Raw genomic sequence first — 17493 nt, forward strand, 5'->3', positions numbered from 1 at the left:
CCAGCTCTCCTCCCCACCTTGCAGGAGGGACGCCAGGGCCCGGTTTTCGGGTTCCGCCATTCTTTCCTCAATGAGGGTCGGAGAGGTCCCTGCCCACGCCAGACCCGTCCCCGGCCGTCGCGGCACCCTCTTGTGATCAGGCGGAGGGACCAAGGGCCAAGAGCGGGGCTTCGCCGGACGCTGGGAGCGTCACTGTCCAGACTGACAGATGGGGAAACTGAGGCTGACCAGCTGGGCAGGGCGTGCATACGAATCTGGGTCCTGGAAGCGTTCTGCAAGATCCCTTCTCACCTCAACCGCACGTGCTGGCATCCTTGGGTTTCCCTCCTTCCCCAGATCACAGCCGCACTTCTCTCCTCCGCCCTCATAGTCACGGCCCTGCCTTCTCCCTCCTCTTGCCCCGGGCGGGCCCCGCCCAGAATGCGGAGAGGCCTTCGAGGAAGCGCGGACCAATCGGAGGCCCTATGTAGGGCTGAAGAGGCGGGACTCTGGTCGCCATAACAACTCATCACGCCTGTGCTGCGCGCGCGCGTCGCCTTAGTGCCGCAGCCCTATTACGTGAGGTAGGGAAGGCGCGCCAGACTCGACGGCCAATCAGGGACCCGAGGGCGATGTTGCCATGACGACCACGTTGCGCTGGAGATTGCGACGGGGGCTGAAACCGCGGGGAACTCGGGGAGCGAGTGGTGAGAACAGTGAGCACCAGCACTCCGATGGCGCTGGCGAGAGGAAAGGCTGCGGCGCGCAGAGCGAGGCTGCGGGACCCCAGGATGGGGGACAGGAGGCTGCGGGGCCTCAGGTGAGCAGCAAGCGAGAGACCAGTCCCTTCGAGCGCCCTCACGCGTTTTGTCCCCACGCCACGCCGGGGACGAGTCTGTGGCACAGACTCGTCCCCGGCCCCGCGGGCTTAAGTTGTCTGGGGGCTGTCGCTTTGAGTACAGATCATATAGTTATGAATACATTTTAACGCAGATCCAAACACATAGTATAACGTGAGGATCCTATATAAAGTGAGACTCCTCAAAAAAAAAAAAAAAAAAAGATTTTTTTTTTTTTTTAGCCGGACGTGGTGGCGGGCGCCTGTAGTCCCAACCACTCGGGAGGCTGAGGCAGGAGAATCGCTTGAAGCCGGGAGGCGGAGGCTTCAGTGAGCCGAAATCGCGCCACTGCACTCCAGCCCGGGCGACAGAGCGAGAGACTCCGTTTGGGGGGGTAAAGTGTTTTTTTAAATGCAGTCAAATTCGAACGTAGGTTGATAGGATCACATAGTTGATCCACTCTAACCCCACACCCACTTGCAGACCTGGTTAGTGCTGAGGTCCTCTCATCCCAGGGAGTAGGCTAGAGTTCGCACTGGCTCCCCTGGGGCCCGGCTTGGCGTGGCAAAGCTGGGAGTCTCGCCCTAGGTTGGGGTTTCCTCTGCTCTGTAAGCCTCTGCAGAAGGAGCAGAGGGTGGTGGGAGAAGAAGTGCCCAAGAGGGGCCACAAGCTACCTGTGATCTGTGTCCCCCCACCAGGGGGATGGGTGCTTTCATTTTTATCGTTGTGGAAAATTTCACATTAAGTACTTCTCCAAAGAATCTCCCAGACATCTACTTGTTCTTTCAAAACATAACAGATTTTTTTAAAAAACAATTTACATACCATATAATTTGCCCATTTTGAGTGTACAATTCAAGGCTGGGCGCGGTGGCTCACGCCTGTAATCCCACCACTTTGGGAGGCTGAGGTGGGCGGATCACCTGAGGTCAGGAGTTCGAGACCAGCCTGACCAACATGGAGAAACCCCATCTGTACTAAAAATACAAAATTAGCTGGGCGTGGTGGCACATGCCTGTTATCCCAGCTCCTCGGGAGGCTGACAGGCAGGAGAATCGCTTGAACTCGGGAGGCGGAGGTTGCGGCGAGCCGAGATTGCACCATTGCACTCCAGCCTGGGCAACAAGAGCGAAACTGCGTCTCAAAAAAAAAAAAAAAAAAAAAAAAAGGCCGTAGGTCTGAATAGACCCCTCACCTAAGAAAAATAGATACATAGCTGGCAAATAGGCACATGAAAATATGCTCCACATCATATGCCATTAGGGAACTGCAAATTGAAACAATAATGAGATACTACTATACATCTATTAGAATGGCTACAATGCAAAACACTGATAGCACCATATGCTAGCAAGGTTGTGAGGCAATGGGAACTCTCGTTTACTGCTGATAGAAAGGCAAAATGGTATAGCCACTTTGGAAGACAGTTTGGCAGTTTCTTACAGAAAGTTAAATATAGTCTTACCATATGATACAGCAATCACACTCCTGGGTATTTGCACAAATGAGTTGAGAACTTATGTCCATGCGAAAACCACACAAATTATTATAGCAGCTTTATTCATAATTGCTCAAAACTTGAATCAACCCAGATGTCCTTCAATAGATAAATGGCTAATCTGTGTTACATCCACACAATGGAATATCATTCAGCAATAAAATTAACTGTGCTACCAAGTTATGAAAGGCATGGAGGAGTCTGAAATGCACATTGGTAAGTGACAGAAGCCAGACTGAAAAAGCTACATACTGTATGATTACAAGTTTATGACATTCTGGAAAAGGTAAAGCTATAGAGACAGTAAAGCAGTGACTGCCAGGGACTCAGTGGGAGGGAGGGAGGGAGGGAGGGAGGAATGAATAGTAGCACAAGTAATTTTTGGGGGCAGTAAAAGTATTTTGTACTATATTGTAATGGTGGATACATGAATTTATGCATTTGTGAAAACCCATATAATGTACATTAATAATAATGTACTAATATTCATTTTACAATGTTAACAAATGGGCCGGGTGCGGTAGCTCATGCCTGTAATCCCAGCATTTTGGGAGGCTGAGCGGGGCGGATCACGAGGTCAGGAGATGGAGACCATCCTGGCCAAAATGGTGAAACCCCAACTCTACTAAAAATACAAAAATTAGCCGGGTGTGGTGGCACGCGCTTGTCGTCCCAGCTATTCGTGAGGCTGAGACAGAATTGCTTGAACCCGGGAGGCGGAGGTTACTGTGAGATCGTGGCACTGCACTCCAGCCTGGGTGTCAGAGCAACTCCGTCTCAAAAAAAAAAAAAAAAAAGAAGAAACTAAAATGAGGTCCAATGAAGTAGTGCCAGGAAAAACATAAATGAACTAACTATTAAGCCCAGGAAAGGTAAGTGGTTAAGAGAGAACTTTGGTCTGAGACTTCCTGGAATCAAACTGTAGCACTGCCTCCCACTGGCTTTATGACTCAGGGCAAATACTTAGCCTATGGGAGACTCAGGCCCTGGACCCTCTACTCCTCTGCTCCACCCGTGGGAGAGATCAGGCCCATCTCACAGAGGAACAGATTTTTTTTTTTTCTTTTTTTTTTATTGATCATTCTTGGGTGTTTCTCGTAGAGGGGGATTTGGCAGGGTCACAGGACAATAGGGGAGGGAAGGTCAGCAGATAAACAAGTGAACAAAGGTCTCTGGTTTTCCTAGGCAGAGGACCCTGCGGCCTTCCGCAGTGTTTGTGTCCCTGGGTACTTGAGATTAGGGAGTGGTGATGACTCTTAAGGAGCATGCTGCCTTCAAGCATCTGTTTAACAAAGCACATCTTGCACCGCCCTTAATCCATTCAACCCTGAGTGGATACAGCACATGTTTCAGAGAGCACAGGGTTGGGGGTAAGGTCACAGATCAACAGGATCCCAAGGCAGAAGAATTTTTCTTAGTACAGAACAAAATGAAAAGTCTCCCACGTCTACCTCTTTCTACACAGACACGGCAACCATCCGATTTCTCAATCTTTTCCCCATCTTTCCCCCCTTTCTATTCCACAAAACCGCCATTGTCATCATGGCCCGTTCTCAACGAGCTGTTGGGTACACCTCCCAGATGGGGTGGTGGCCGGGCAGAGGGGCTCCTCATTTCCCAGTAGGGGCGGCCGGGCAGAGGCGCCCCTCACCTCCCGGACAGGGCGGCTCGCCAGGCGGGGGGCTGACCCCCCCCCCCACCTCCCTCCTGGACGGGGCGGCTGGCCAGGCAGAGGGGCTCCTCACTTCCCAGTAGGGGCGGCCGGGCAGAGGCGCCCCTCACCTCCCGGACGGGGTGGCTGGCCAGGCGGGGGGCTGACCCCCCCACCTCCCTCCCGGACAGGGCGGCTGGCAGGGCGGGGGGCTGACCCCCCCACCTCCCTCCCAGATGGGGCGGCTGGCCGGGCAGAGGGGCTCCTCACTTCCCAGTAGGGGCGGCCGGGCAGAGGCGCCCCGCACCTCCCGGACGGGGCGGCTGGCCGGGCAGGGGGCTGACCCCCCCACCTCCCTCCCGGACGGGTCGGCTGGCCGCGCGGGGGGCTGACCCCCCCACCTCCCTTCCGGACAGGGCGGCTGGCCGGGCGGGGGGCTGACCCCCCCACCTCCCTCCCGGACGGAGCGGCTGGCCGGGCAGAAGGGCTCCTCACTTCCCAGTAGGGGCGGCCGGGCAGAGGCGCCCCTCATCTCCCGGACAGGGCGGCTGGCCGGGTGGGGGACTGATCCCCCCACCTCCCTCCCGGACGGGGCGGCTGGCCGGGCGGGGGGCTGACCCCCCCACCTCCCTCCCGGACGAGGTGGCTGCTGGGCGGAGAGGCTCCTCACTTCTCAGACGGGGCGGCTGCCGGGCGGAGATGCTCCTCACTTCCCAGACGGGGTGGCTGCTGGGCGGAGGGGCTCCTCACTTCTCAGACGGGGCGGCTGCCGGGCGGAGGGGCTCCTCACTTCTCAGACGGGGCAGTTGCCAGGCAGAGGGTCTCCTCACTTCTCAGACGGGGCGGCCGGGCAGAGACGCTCCTCACATCCCGGACGGGGCGGCAGGGCAGAGATGCTCCCCACATCTCAGACGATGGGCGGCCGGGCAGAGACGCTCCTCACTTCCCAGATGTGATGGCGGCCGGGAAGAGGCGCTCCTCACTTCCTAGATGGGATGGCGGCCGGGCAGAGACGCTCCTCACTTTCCAGACTGGGCAGCCAGGCAGAGGGGCTCCTCACATCCCAGATGATGGGCGGCCAGGCGGAGACGCTCCTCACTTCCCAGACGGGGTGGCCGCCGGGCAGAGGCTGCAATCTCGGCACTTTGGGAGGCCAAGGCGGGTTGCTGGGAGGTGGAGGTTGTAGCGAGCCGAGATCACGCCACTGCACTCCAGCCTGGACACCATTGAGCACTGAATGAACGAGACTCCGTCTGCAATCCCGGCACCTCGGGAGGCCGAGGCTGGCGGATCACTCGTGGTTAGGAGCTGGAGACCAGCCCGGCCAACACAGCGAAACCCCGTCTCCACCAAAAAAAATACGAAAACCAGTCAGGCGTGGCGGCACGCGCCTGCAATCGCAGGCACTCGGCAGGCTGAGGCAAGAGAATCAGGCAGGGAGGTTGCAGTGAGCCGAGATGGCAGCAGTACCGTCCAGCTTCGGCTCGGCATCAGAGGGAGACCGTGGAAAGAGCGGGGGGGGGGGGAGGGGGAGGGGGAGGAGGGAAGAGGAACAGATTTTCAAGAACGATTTGAGGATATGTATTAGCCCAGGACATGTTATGGGATGACCAGTGTCTTCAAACTAGGCAGAAAGAGGGGACAGGGTACAGGAGTCAGGGGAAGTAGGCGAAAAGGTGGACTGTTTAGTAGGGGATCAGGAACATAGAAAAGTGGCAAGGCTAGTGACCTTGGTACCCAGACACCAGGGGTATAACTCAGGTACCAGGTGTGAGAACAGCTCAATTCCAGGGATACTTCCATCCCCAGCTTGCAATCTCCATGGCTGAGCCTCTTTGATAACTTTTGTGCTATTCCTGGTTTCAAGTCTACCTGGTCCATCAATCAGTGCTCTTGTCTGCACTCCAGTTGGGGGAACTCATGAACTGTAAAGGGCAATCCTGTGGGGGAATGAACAGGTTGGTCAGTCCAGCCTAGGGCAGACTGACCCACCATGACAGTCCAGGGGTACTGATGACAGGCATGTACCATGAGCTTGGGGGTGTCCCACCTGTGTCTCCACTGGAGAGAATACACAGGTGTCACTGAGGAACAGGGTTGCAAGGACTGAGGATATGGGGTCAGCTGAGGACATGTTAAGGAGAGGCAAACATTGCACAGCTAGGCACTAAGGAGAGAGAAAGGGACACAGCGGGGCATGGCCAGAAAACTGGAATTGAGCTGAGTGGAGGCACCAAGACCTGCGAGGGCACAGGCTGGGCACCAGGTGTGAGAACAGCCCACTCCTGGGGGCATTCACCAGGGGTAGATCTCTTCAGGGTCCCTCTGCCACAACTAGTTTTGAGTTCATATGGTCCACCTGCTGGTGGGAATGTAGAAGCCTTCAGACCTATGAAGGATGATGAGTTTTTGAGAGTCCAGGCCAGGAGAGGCCAAAACACCATGACCCCAGCAAGCGAGAATAATCCTTACTCCAAGACAAACACAGACCTGCAAAAAATGAACATTCAGGGAAGGCTCCCAGGCAGGACCCAGTGGGCCCACACGCACCCATGTCAGTGCATGCAGTGCCTGGAATCTTACAGGAAGTGACCGAGCTGAACGTGACCAGCTGTGAAGATTCAGAGACTTCTGAGCCCCGATCTTGGCCACTCACGGCCCTTGGGTAGAATGTGTGGGGTGTCCACTCAGCCACTTGTTAGAGGAGGTGGCATGATCTGGGCCTCAGTGCCACGACCAACAGCGACTTCCAAGGGGAACATGGAAAGAACAGAGGAAAAAAACCAGAGTTGAGGCTGGGGAGAGTTATGGTGCCAGTGGTCTCACCCAGCACTGAGTGCAAAGTTCTCCAGCACCACTTCAGGTAGAAGCTCCTCTGGACCTTGCCTAAGAACTCCGTTCGTCCGGGAGGACGCAGGCCCACCTGCTCTAACATGAACGCGTCTGAATTCAGCGGAGGACACCCAGGAGCCCGGTTATTCTCCTGCCAGCGTCCTCCCCTGATGTGTCCCTGACCCCGTGCTCTGACGTACTCAGCCATGTACTCACTCTCCTCTCCCAGGCCCCCATACCTGAGATCACCATGGCCTGATATGGGGTAGACTACAAGCCTACCGTGCCTCAGCCATGTGCAGGGCGACCTGTCCCTGGCATCCACACCTGTGGCCCATACGTCGCCCGCATTGTGGGGCGCCGAAAACCCAACACAACTGAAACACAACTGCTGACCTTCCCCCTAAGCCGCCTCTAAACGAGGTCCCTCGGCCCCTGGTCCCAGCCGCTCTTTGAAGACTTGCCTGATGACAGGCATGTACCATGTTTTTGGCTGGGACATTTTTCTGAGCCTTGCTCCGGGCTCCGTAAAGCGGACACGGTGCCAGGGAGAGAATTTCGGGGCGGTTGCGGGCACAGGCGGGCTTCTGCGGAGGCCCTGGCGAACGCCCCCGCGCGGCGCGGTCCGATGGCCCCATGGGGCCGCCCCTCCACTGTGAGGTCACCGGGGTTCAGCAACATTCACTGCGGCTAGGACGCGTACAGGTCACTGAGGCAGAACTTCCCGATTCTCGCGCCTTCGTTCGTTTCTGCGGACCAGCGGAGACTCCTCCACACCGCCCACCGCCCAATGATCCCACTGCCGCAAACCGCCCCAAAGCCAGCGCCGAAAGCCGACGCCGGAAGCCCCGCCCCACGCAGGGCCCGCCCGAACGTTCCCGTTCCTGGGCCGCCATTGGCCAAGTCTGAACGGCCCCACGTCGAGGCTCCTTATGGGAAATGTAGTTCACGTCCCGCTTCAGGAGCTAGCGGCGCCCTCCCTTATCGCCTTGGCAACGACCCAGCCGCGCCGCGAGGAGAGCCGGGAATGGAGGTCGTGGCGTGAGGGGCGCCGAGCGAGGGGAGGCGCGGGCCACGGGAGTTCCGGGAGTTCCGGCGTTGCCCGGCAGTCCGCAGTCCTCGGCGGGAAGGCTGTCCCGGCGCCTCAGGCAGCTCTGCGTGGGCCGGGGTGACTTCCTCGCGATCCCCTGCGCGAGGTGAAGGGCAGGGACCTTTGCCGCGCCTTCCACGCGCCGTGCCCCACCGGCGAGTGGCTCCATCTTCCTCAGACTTATCGCTCGCGGACAGGCGCCGTGGGTCTCCCGGGCCTCCGTACCGTCCTCCTTCCCAGCGGCTCCGGGAAGCGGTTCCCTGTCTTCGGACGCATTTCACCCGCGCGGGGAGAGCTTCCCGGGAAGGTTCCACGGCGGCCGAGGGTTTCCGCGCCCGGGACGCGTTTCGGCTGAGGCCGTGGGTCCAGTCCACGGGTTCTGCCCGCACGGTCCAATGGCCGGGGAGGCGGAGGTGAGCAGAGGATGCCTCCGAGGAATGAGGGGGCCCACCAGGTGGGGGGCGGCGTGTGCCAGGGCAGAGTTGGAGGAGGGCAGGAGATCTGCGTATGATTCCAGGGGGAGGTCTTTGATGCACGGCTGGGGCATGCCCTTGGCAGTGGGAGCCATTGGAGATGTGCCGCAGGACTGGGACAGGATGGGGTCGTAGTTGCTGTGCCAGGCCCTCTGGAGACGCATGTGCAGAACGGCGTGTGGAAGGCCAGGCAATTGCCTATAGGGTAAACTGGGGACGTTGTGCTGGGGGTGTACAGTTTTAGGCATTCTGTTGTCCAGTTTTGTGCCTGTTGAGCAGGAGGCAAACTGGACCCTGGGACCAGGTACTTGAGACCTAAGGGAGAAGGATGAGCATAGGTTTGGTTGCGTCTGAGAGGTATGATCTCTGGGACTGGAATTGGCAGGCAGGAGATAGAGTGGAGCCTGTGCCCTTGGCCCTGCACATAGATGGCATCAGTCTGGTCACCAACCTGATGTCGCTTTGGGCTGGACACAGTTTCCAGTAGTAACACCAGAAGCATCAATAACACCAGCAGCTCTGATATTCCTCTGGGATAGGAGAAGGAAGGTATAAGGGTATGTGTAGGGAGTAAGGTGGGGAAGAGTTTAGAGCTCATAGGGAAAGATAATGTCAGGGGGAGATGTGATAGGACCCTGAGATACAGGTCAAGGGCCTGAATGTGTCCATCTGTCCATATTTTGGTTGTTTTTTTCTGCCCATCATTGACCCCAAGGCTCAGTTGGACCCATCATTGCAGGGCTTGGTGATGTTTGAGGATGTGACGGTATATTTCTCCAGGGAGGAGTGGGGGCTCCTTAATGTGACCCAGAAGGGCCTATACCGGGATGTGATGCTGGAGAACTTTGCACTCGTTAGCTCACTGGGTAAGTCTCTTACACTGTCCCCCAGCACACTGACTACCCCCTCATTTTCCCCATGCGAAGTTCTGTCCATAACGAAGCCAGACCATGGGGGCTCTTTCCTTCCCAGATTCCCTGTTGTAGGTATTGTGGGTGGTGGGACTCGGTGGTGGGACTCGGCGGTGTGCTCTTTCCCTGCCTTTCTCTGAGCAATGCTGTTGGCAGCCTCAACACCTCTTGCCCCAGGAGCTAGTGGAGCAGGTTTTGGGGGTCAGATGTTTCATAGTTTGCCCACCAAATCCCACCAAGCTCTGCCTTTTCCTGGCCATGTGACTCTCTTGAAGACATGGCTTCTCTGTGCTCTGGGTTTTGCCTCCCTACAAAAGAAATTTTACAGGGACCTCCCTGGGCCAGGCTTGAGCCATGAATTTTAATCAGAACGGTTTGGGAAATATATATATATATATATATATATATATATATATATATATGTGTATATATATATGTATATATATGTATATATATGTATATATATGTATATATATGTGTATATATGTGTATATATGTGTATATATATGTGTATATATGTGTATATATGTATATATGTGTATATATATGTATATATGTATATATATATGTATATATGTGTATATATATATGTATATATATATATGTGTGTATATATATATATATATGTATATATATATATAATTTTTTTTTTTTTTTTTTTTTTTTTTTTTTTGAGACAGAGCCTCACTCTGTTGCCCAGGCTGGAGTGCAGTGGCGCAATCTCGGCTCACCACAACCTCTGCCTCCAGGGTTCAAGCGATTCTCCTGCCTCAGTCTCCCGAGTAGCTGGGACTACAGGCTCGCGCCACCATGCCTGGCTAATTTTTGTATTTTTAGTAGAGACAGGGTTTCACTTTGTTGGCCAGGCTGGTCTTGAACTCCGGACCTCATGATCTGCCTGCCTTGGCCTCTCAAAGTGCTGGGATTACAGGCGTGAGCCACTGCGCCTGGCCACAAAGGTACTTCTTTCGTTAAATTTATTCCTAAGTACTTTATTCTTCACTGTTAAGTATGGTGTTAGCTGTTGGTTTTTTGCAGATGCCCATTTCAGGTGAGGAAGTTCCCTTCTCTTTCTAGTTCATTTAATGTGTTTATTAAGAAAAGTCATGGCCAGGTGCAGTGGCTCATGCCTGTAATTTCAGCATTTTGGGAGGGCGAGGCAGGTGGATTACCTGAGGTCAGGAGTTCAAGACCAGCGTGGTCAACATGGTGAAACCCCATCTCTACTAAAAATAGAAAACTAGCCAGGTGTGGTGGCACATGCCTGTAATCCCAGCTACTAGGGAAGCTGAGGCAGGAGAATCGCTTGAACCTGGGAGGTGGAGGTTGCAGTGAGCTGAGATCGCACCATTGCACTCCAGCCTGGGCAACAAGAGTGAAACTACGTCTCAAAAAAAAAAAAGAAAAGAAAGGTCACTAGATTTTGTCAAATGCTTTTCCAATGTCTAATGAAATGATCATGTGATTTTTGTCCTCTCTTCTGTTAATGTAGTATATTAGAATAATTGATTGCCTTTTCTTTTTTTGAGACGGAGTCTTGTTCTGTCGCCAGGCTGGAGTGCAGTGGCGCGATCTCGGCTCACTGCAACCTCCACCTCCCGGGTTCAAGTGATTTTCCTGCCTCAGCCTCCCAAGTAGCTGGGACTATAGGCGTGCACCACCACGCCCAGCTAATTTTTGTATTTTTCGTAGAGATGGGGTTTCACCATGTTTGCAAGGATGGTCTTGATCTCTTGACCTCGTGATCTGCCCCCGTCGGCCTCCCAACACTAATTGTTGATTTTCATATGTTCAACCTTGCATTACTGGGATAAATTCCCTGTCATGGCTTATAATACTTGTTTTTTTTTTTTTTTTTTTTTTTAGACAGAGTCTTACTCTGTCGCCCAGGCTGGAGTTCAGTGGCATGATCTCGGCTCATTGCAACCTCCACCTCTTGGGTTCAAGTGATTCTCCTGCCCCCGCCTCCTGAGTAGCTGGGTTACAGGCATGCACCACTATGCCTGGCTAATTTTTTTATTTTTAGTAGAGACAGGGGTTTCACCATGTTGGCCAGGGTGGTCTTTTTTTTTTTTTTTTTTTTTGAGACGGAGTCTCGCTCTGTCGCCCAGGCCGGACTGCGGACTGCAGTGGCGCAATCTCGACTCACTGCAAGCTCCGCTTCCCGGGTTCACGCCATTCTCCTGCCTCAGCCTCCCGAGTAGCTGGGACTACAGGCGCCCGCCACCGCGCCCGGCTAATTTTTTGTATTTTTAGTAGAGACGGGGTTTCACCTTGTTAGCCAGGATGGTCTCAATCTCCTGACCTCATGATCCACTCGCCTCGGCCTCCCAAAGTGCTGGGATTACAGGCGTGAGCCACCACGCCCGGCCTGGCCAGGGTGGTCTTGAACTCCCGACCTCAGGTGATCCACCCATCTCGGCCTCCAAAGTGCTGAGATTACAGGTGTGAGCCACCACACCCAGCCAGTGGTGTAGTTTTCTTATAATGTCTCTGTATTGAGTATGAGGGTAATTTTGGCCTCAATGGATGAGTTGGGAATGTTTCCTTCTCTTCTGTTTTCTGGAAGAGTTTCTTAAGTATTGGTGTTAATTCTTATTTCAGTATTGTTAGTATTCACCTTTGAAGCCATCAGGGCTTGGGGTTGTGTGTGTTTTGGGGGGAATGTTTTTTAATAACAACAAGAAAACCCTCTTTGTTACATTTGTATTTAGATTTTCTGTTTCTTCTTGACTCAGTTTTGATAGTTTGTGTCTACTTGGGAATTTGTCCATTTCATCTAAGTTATCCAATTTGTTGGCATACATTTGTACATAGTATTTCATTATTTTTTAATTTTTATAAGGTTACTAGTGATGTCCTTTTTCCATTCCTGTTCAAAGTAGTATTGAGTCTTCTCTCTGTTTTTTGTCACTCTAGGTAAACATTTGCCAATTTTGTTGATTTTTTCAAAGAACCAAATTTTGGTTTGTCGGTTCTCTTTTTCTAATCTGTTTCATTCGTTTCTGCTCTAATTTTTATTATTTCCCTCCTTTTGCTATCTTTGGGTTTGTTTTTCTTTTTCTTGTTCCTTGAGGTATAAAGTTAGGTTATTGGTTTGAGATCTTTTAAAATATGGGTATTTATAGCCATAATGTTCCTGCTAAGCTCTGCATTTTCTGCATCCCATAATTTTTTGTTTGTTGTGGTATTTTTTTCTTTTTCTTTTTCTTTTTTTTTAATTTTTCTTTTTGAGATGGAGTCCTGTTGCCCACGCTGGAATGCAATGGTGCGATCTCGGCTCAATGCAATCTCCACCTCCTGGGTTCAAGCAATTCTGCTGCCTCAGCCTCCCAAGTCGCTGGGATTACAGGCATGTGCCACCATGCCTGGCTAATTTTTTTTTTTTTTTGAGGTGGAGTCTGATGCCTCCCAGGCTGGAGTGCAGTGGTGCGATCTTGGCTCACTGCAACCTCCGCCCCCCAAGTTCAAGCGATTCTCCTGCCTCAGCCTCCCGAGTGGCATGGTCCACCACACCTGGCTAATTTTTGTATTTTTTTTTTTTGGTAGAGACAGGGTTTCGCCATGTTGGCCAGGCTGGTCTTGAACTCCAGACCACAGGTGATCCACCCACCTCAGCCTACCAAAGTGCTGGGATTACAGGCGTGAGCCACCACCCGGCCTGTTGTATTTTTCTTTTCTTTTCTTTTTTTCTTTTTTTGAGATGGAGTCTTGCTCTGTCACCCAGGCTGGAGTGCAGTGGCACTATCTCGGCTCACTGCAAGCTCCGCCTCCTGGATTCATGCCATTCTCCTGCCTCAGCCTCCCGAGTATCTGGGATTACAGGCGCCCACCACCACGCCTGGCTAATTTTTTTTTGTATTTTTAGTAGAGACGGGGCTTCACTGTGTTCGGCAGGATGGTCTCAAACTCCTGACCTTGTGATCCACCTGCCTCGGCCTCCCAAAGTGCTGGGATTACACTTGAGCCACCACACCCAGCCCTGTGTTTTTATTTTCATTCCTCCCAAAGTACTTGTAATTGTCATGTGATTTATTTTTTCTTTGACTCTGGATTTTTAGGAATGTTTTGTTTAAATTCCTTAAATTTGTGAGTTTCCTAAATTTCTTTCTGTTGTTGATTTCTGTTTTAATTCATTTGTGGACAGAGAACATACTTGACATTATTTCAATCCTTTGAAATCTACTGAGGCTTGCTTTATTTATTTATTTATTTATTTTGAGACAGAGTCTTGCTCTGTCGCCCAGGCTGGAGTGCAGTGGCGCGATCTCAGCTCACTGCAAGCTCTGCCTCCTGGGTTCACGCCATTCTCCTGCCTCAGCCTCCTGAGTAGCTGGGACTACAGGCGCCTGCCACCATGCCCGGGTAATTTTTTTTTTGTATTTTTAGTAGAGATGGGGTTTCACTGTGTTAGCCAGGATGGTCTTGATCTCCTGACCTCATGATCTGCCCGTCTCGGCCTCCCAAAGTGCTGGGATTACAGGCATGAGCCACCGCGCCCAGCCGAGGCTTATTTTATATCCTAGCAAATGGTATGTTCTGAAGACCGTTCCATGTGCACGTGACAATGTATATCCTGCTGTTGTTAGGTGGCAAGCTCTATAGATGTCTGTTAGGACTAGTTGGTTTTCATTGTTGTTCAAGTCTGCTGTTGTTATTGATGGTGGGAAATTACAATCGTTATTATTGCTGAACAGTCTGTTTCTTCAGTTATGTCAGTTTTGCTTCATAGAAAGGCTTTTTTTTTTCTTTTTGTTTGTTTGTTTGTGTTTTTGAGACAGAGTCTCGCACTGTCGCCCAGGCTGGAGTGCAGTGGTGTGATCTCAGCTCACTGCAAGCTCTGCCTCCCAGGTTCATGCCATTCTCCTGCCTAAGCCTCCCGAGTAGCTGGGACTACAGGTGCCCGTCACCACATCCGCCTGATTTTTTTGTATTTTTAGTAGAAGGGGGGTTTCACCGTGTTAGCCAGGATAGTCTTGATCTCCTGACCTCGTGATCCGCCCACCTTGGCCTCCCAAAGTGCTGGGATTACAGGCGTGAGCCACTGCGCCCGGCCTGTTTGTTTGTTTTTGAGACAGGGTCTCACTCTGTTGCCCAGGCTAGAGTCCAATGGTGTGATCGTGACTCACTGACGCTTTGACCTCCTAGGCTCAAGTGATCCTCTCACTATGGCCTCCCTAGTAACTGGGACTACAGGTGGTGCATGCCATCATGCCTGGCTAATTAAAATAATATATTTTTTGTAGAGTTGGGGTCTTACTGTGTTGCCCAGGCTGGTTGCGAACGTCTGGGTTTAAGTGATCTCCTACCTCACTTTCCAAAGTGCTGGGATTACAGGCATCAGCCACCATGCCCAGCCTGTTTCTTTTACTACCTGTCACCCGCAGGACTTGCACCTTCGAGATCCCCTGTGTTTACCCAGCTGGAGGATGATGAACAGTCGTGGGTGCCCAGCTGGGTGGATGTGACTCCAGTCAGCAGAGCAGAAGCCAGGAGAGGTTTTGGTCTTGGTAAGTGGAGTGGAGGGGAATACCTTGGTTTCAGCAGTGGGCTCACAGAATGCTGAGTACCTGCATACACCGATACCTTGGTGTTGAGGGCAGTGACCATACCTTATTTCCTTCCACCTTTCCTGTCTTATGTGGACACTGTGCAGTCTGCCATCTCTACCATGATTTTCAGGCCCCGCATGTTCCTGCCTCTCTGGCCTGCGTCTCCTCATTGCCCTTCTCTGTATCTGTGCAGAGCTGTCTACTGTTGGCGACTCAGTGCGTGTCTTGAAATGTGCACATATCCTTAAACAGGTATTTGAACTTCAGCCAATCCTTAATTAATACTTAAACACCAGCTACTATTTTGGAATCACATTTTGCTGGGACTAGACACATGCCTCCTCATAGTGCTTGGCTGTCACCAGCAGCCAAGGCCCTGCTGAAACCCTTTGCAGAGGAGTGACTTGGAGACCCCACCTCTCTTCCCTGCACCATATCCTATCTTGTGCCCTCATCTCAGTTGAGGTTTTCCTTAGTCTGTAGTCTGGTGGAGCCATATTCAGTTGTGCCAGGCTTTCCCAACCCAGACCTTTCCTAGCAACCTCTCAGCAATTCTTTTTTTTTTAAGATGGAGTTTTGCTCTTATTGCCCAGGCTGGAGTGCAGTGGCGCAATCTCAGCTCACTGCAACCTCTGCCTCCTGGGTTCATGCCATTCTCCTGCCTCAGCCTCTTGAGTAGCTGGGACTACAGGCGCCTGCCACCATGCCTGGCTAATTTTTTTTTTTTTTTTTGAGTCGGAGTTTTGCTCTTACTGCCCAGGCTGGAGTGCAGTGGCGCGATCTCAGCTCACTGCAGCCTCTGCCTCTGGATTCAAGTGATCCTCCTGCCTCAGCCTCCCGAGTAGCTGGGATTACAGGCATGCATCACCACACCCGGCTAATTTTGTATTTTTAGAAGAGATGGGGTTTCGTCGTGTTGGTCAGGCTGGTCTCGAACTCCTGACCTCACGTGATCTGCCCGCCTTGGCCTCCCAAAGCACTGGGATTACAGGCGTGAGCCACCACGCCTGGCCCTTTCAGCAGTTCTATGGAGTCCTTCTGGGTGTGTCTGACATGCACTGGTGATTAAGGTACCTCCTCCCTCTAGTTCAACTCTTAGTAATGATTCATCTCTGCTTTCAGATGGTTTGTGTAGAGTGGAGGATGAGAGAGCCCATCCTGAGCATCTAAAGAGCTACAGAGTCATCCAGCACCAGGACACTCATAGTGAGGGGAAACCAAGAAGGCACACTGAGCATGGGGCAGCTTTCCCACCTGGTTCCAGTTGTGGGCAACAGCAAGAAGTCCATGTGGCAGAGAAGCTGTTCAAATGCAGTGACTGTGGGAAGGTGTTCTTAAAGGCCTTTGCCCTCCTTGACCATCTGATAACGCATTCTGAAGAGAGACCCTTCAGATGCCCAACAGGCAGAAGTGCTTTCAAGAAGTCAGCTCATATTAACCCCCGAAAAATTCACACTGGAGAAACAGCCCATGTGTGTAATGAATGTGGGAAGGCCTTCAGTTACCCGTCTAAGCTGAGGAAACACCAGAAGGTTCACACAGGCATAAAACCTTTTAAGTGTAGTGACTGTGGTAAAACCTTCAACCGCAAAGACGCACTTGTTCTACACCAGAGGATTCACACTGGAGAAAGGCCTTACGAGTGCAGCAAATGTGGTAAAACCTTCAGTGTTCTGTCTACCCTCATTCGGCACCGGAAAGTGCACATTGGAGAAAGGCCCTATGAGTGTACAGAATGTGGGAAGTTCTTTAAATACAATAATAGCTTCATTCTTCACCAGAGAGTTCACACTGGAGAAAGGCCTTTTGAATGCAAGCAATGTGGGAAAGGCTACGTGACCCGTTCAGGCCTCTATCAGCACTGGAAAGTCCACACTGGGGAACGGCCCTATGAATGTAGCCTGTGTGGGAAAACCTTCACTACCAGATCCTACCGCAATCGGCACCAGCAGTTCCACACTGAAGAGAGGTCTTATGAATGTACAGAGTGTGGGAAGGCCTTCAAACATAGTTCCACCCTCCTTCAGCACAAGAAAGTCCATACTCCAGAAAGGCGTCAGGAGGACAGGGCACATGGGAAGGTCGTTAGCTGCTAGCACCGTGTTCATCAGGAAAGGTCTTATTCCAGAAAGGAGGTTAAGGAGAGTGGCCGTGAGAGTGCCATCCGAAAGAAGCTAAACCTTGCACATCCCAACACCCACCCCAGGGAGAGTTCCCGTGTGTGCCTGGTGTGTGGGACGCTTTCGGGAGCCACATTGCACTCTGACTTGCCTGGGGCTGTTGGCAGTGTCACATCACTGAGTTTATCCACCGCCATCCACCTCTATCCACCCCATAAGGTCCCTACAGCAAGTGGGACAGCAGACCTTGTGCTCCTTGCTCTAAACAGTAGAGAATCGTTAATAGTGGAGCCCAAAACAGGCCTCATTCCCTACCCTTGACTGGTTTAGCTGTGGACATGACCCACCTCTGGCCGGAGGAGCTGAGCTGGTATCTGCTGGGGGCTTCCTGGGAAGGTTTACCATTTTCATGGAAATGGTTGACATTACACATGGTATTTGTCATGCCCTAGCATGGACTGTCTCATACTGCTCTGGACTATGTGGTAATAAAGGCTTTATTGTTTAAGCCGCTTAAAATTTTTTTTTTATTTTTTTTTTGAGATGGT

General features: G+C 52.2%; 1 protein-coding gene and 1 long non-coding RNA gene across 9 annotated transcripts, besides 7 other annotated features; one reads left to right on the top strand and one right to left on the bottom strand.

The window, feature by feature from the left end:
* Positions 347-796: an enhancer, noted in NCBI's record as "active region_15194". NCBI's record gives its function as "activates an Ori minimal core promoter by ATAC-STARR-seq in GM12878 lymphoblastoid cells {active_cell/tissue: GM12878}" and the evidence as "EXISTENCE:reporter gene assay evidence [ECO:0000049][PMID:35858748]".
* Positions 695-17464, top strand: ZNF584 (zinc finger protein 584). 8 transcript variants are annotated; one of them, XM_047438392.1, is made up of 5 exons: positions 695-799; positions 9102-9228; positions 14661-14783; positions 14956-15077; positions 15948-17464. In XM_047438392.1, exons 2-5 carry the CDS (start codon positions 9111-9113, stop codon positions 15993-15995), a joined length of 411 nt encoding a protein of 136 aa, XP_047294348.1. In that variant the 5' UTR covers positions 695-799; positions 9102-9110; the 3' UTR covers positions 15996-17464. The 8 variants fall into 8 exon arrangements, 7 of the variants coding, with proteins under 7 accessions (XP_047294348.1, XP_047294347.1, XP_005258687.1 ...); NR_134461.2 differs by lacking the exon at positions 695-799 and adding an exon at positions 7786-8302 and having other exon boundaries at positions 9143-9228; positions 14930-15077; XM_005258630.6 differs by lacking the exon at positions 695-799 and adding an exon at positions 7786-8302 and having other exon boundaries at positions 9078-9228.
* Positions 807-936: an enhancer, noted in NCBI's record as "active region_15195". NCBI's record gives its function as "activates an Ori minimal core promoter by ATAC-STARR-seq in GM12878 lymphoblastoid cells {active_cell/tissue: GM12878}" and the evidence as "EXISTENCE:reporter gene assay evidence [ECO:0000049][PMID:35858748]".
* Positions 2341-7600, bottom strand: ZNF584-DT (ZNF584 divergent transcript). Its single transcript, NR_186337.1, has one exon. It is a non-coding gene; the product is annotated as a ZNF584 divergent transcript (long non-coding RNA).
* Positions 6945-6994: an enhancer, noted in NCBI's record as "active region_15196". NCBI's record gives its function as "activates an Ori minimal core promoter by ATAC-STARR-seq in GM12878 lymphoblastoid cells {active_cell/tissue: GM12878}" and the evidence as "EXISTENCE:reporter gene assay evidence [ECO:0000049][PMID:35858748]".
* Positions 6945-7618: a biological region, named in NCBI's record as "OCT4-NANOG-H3K27ac-H3K4me1 hESC enhancer GRCh37_chr19:58919203-58919848".
* Positions 6973-7618: an enhancer, noted in NCBI's record as "OCT4-NANOG-H3K27ac-H3K4me1 hESC enhancer chr19:58919203-58919848 (GRCh37/hg19 assembly coordinates)". NCBI's record gives its function as "activates a minimal SCP1, AML or CMV promoter by ChIP-STARR-seq in naive H9 embryonic stem cells {active_cell/tissue: H9 hESC(naive)}" and the evidence as "EXISTENCE:reporter gene assay evidence [ECO:0000049][PMID:30033119]".
* Positions 7545-7594: an enhancer, noted in NCBI's record as "active region_15197". NCBI's record gives its function as "activates an Ori minimal core promoter by ATAC-STARR-seq in GM12878 lymphoblastoid cells {active_cell/tissue: GM12878}" and the evidence as "EXISTENCE:reporter gene assay evidence [ECO:0000049][PMID:35858748]".
* Positions 7855-7914: a silencer, noted in NCBI's record as "silent region_11082". NCBI's record gives its function as "represses an Ori minimal core promoter by ATAC-STARR-seq in GM12878 lymphoblastoid cells {active_cell/tissue: GM12878}" and the evidence as "EXISTENCE:reporter gene assay evidence [ECO:0000049][PMID:35858748]".
* Positions 17465-17493: the final 29 nt, after the last annotated feature.

Source organism: Homo sapiens, chromosome 19 (assembly GCF_000001405.40).
Source record: "Homo sapiens chromosome 19, GRCh38.p14 Primary Assembly".
Taxonomy (NCBI): domain Eukaryota; kingdom Metazoa; phylum Chordata; class Mammalia; order Primates; family Hominidae; genus Homo; species Homo sapiens.

What these genes read in the sequence shown, in the direction of transcription:
- ZNF584 (NM_173548.3), top strand. An exon ending in TGCACTCGTTAGCTCACTGG is followed by an intron (nt 9,229 to 14,660) that starts GTAAGTCTCTTA and finishes TGTCACCCGCAG; the next exon opens with GACTTGCACCTTCGAGATCC. An exon ending in CAGGAGAGGTTTTGGTCTTG is followed by an intron (nt 14,784 to 15,947) that starts GTAAGTGGAGTG and finishes CTCTGCTTTCAG; the next exon opens with ATGGTTTGTGTAGAGTGGAG.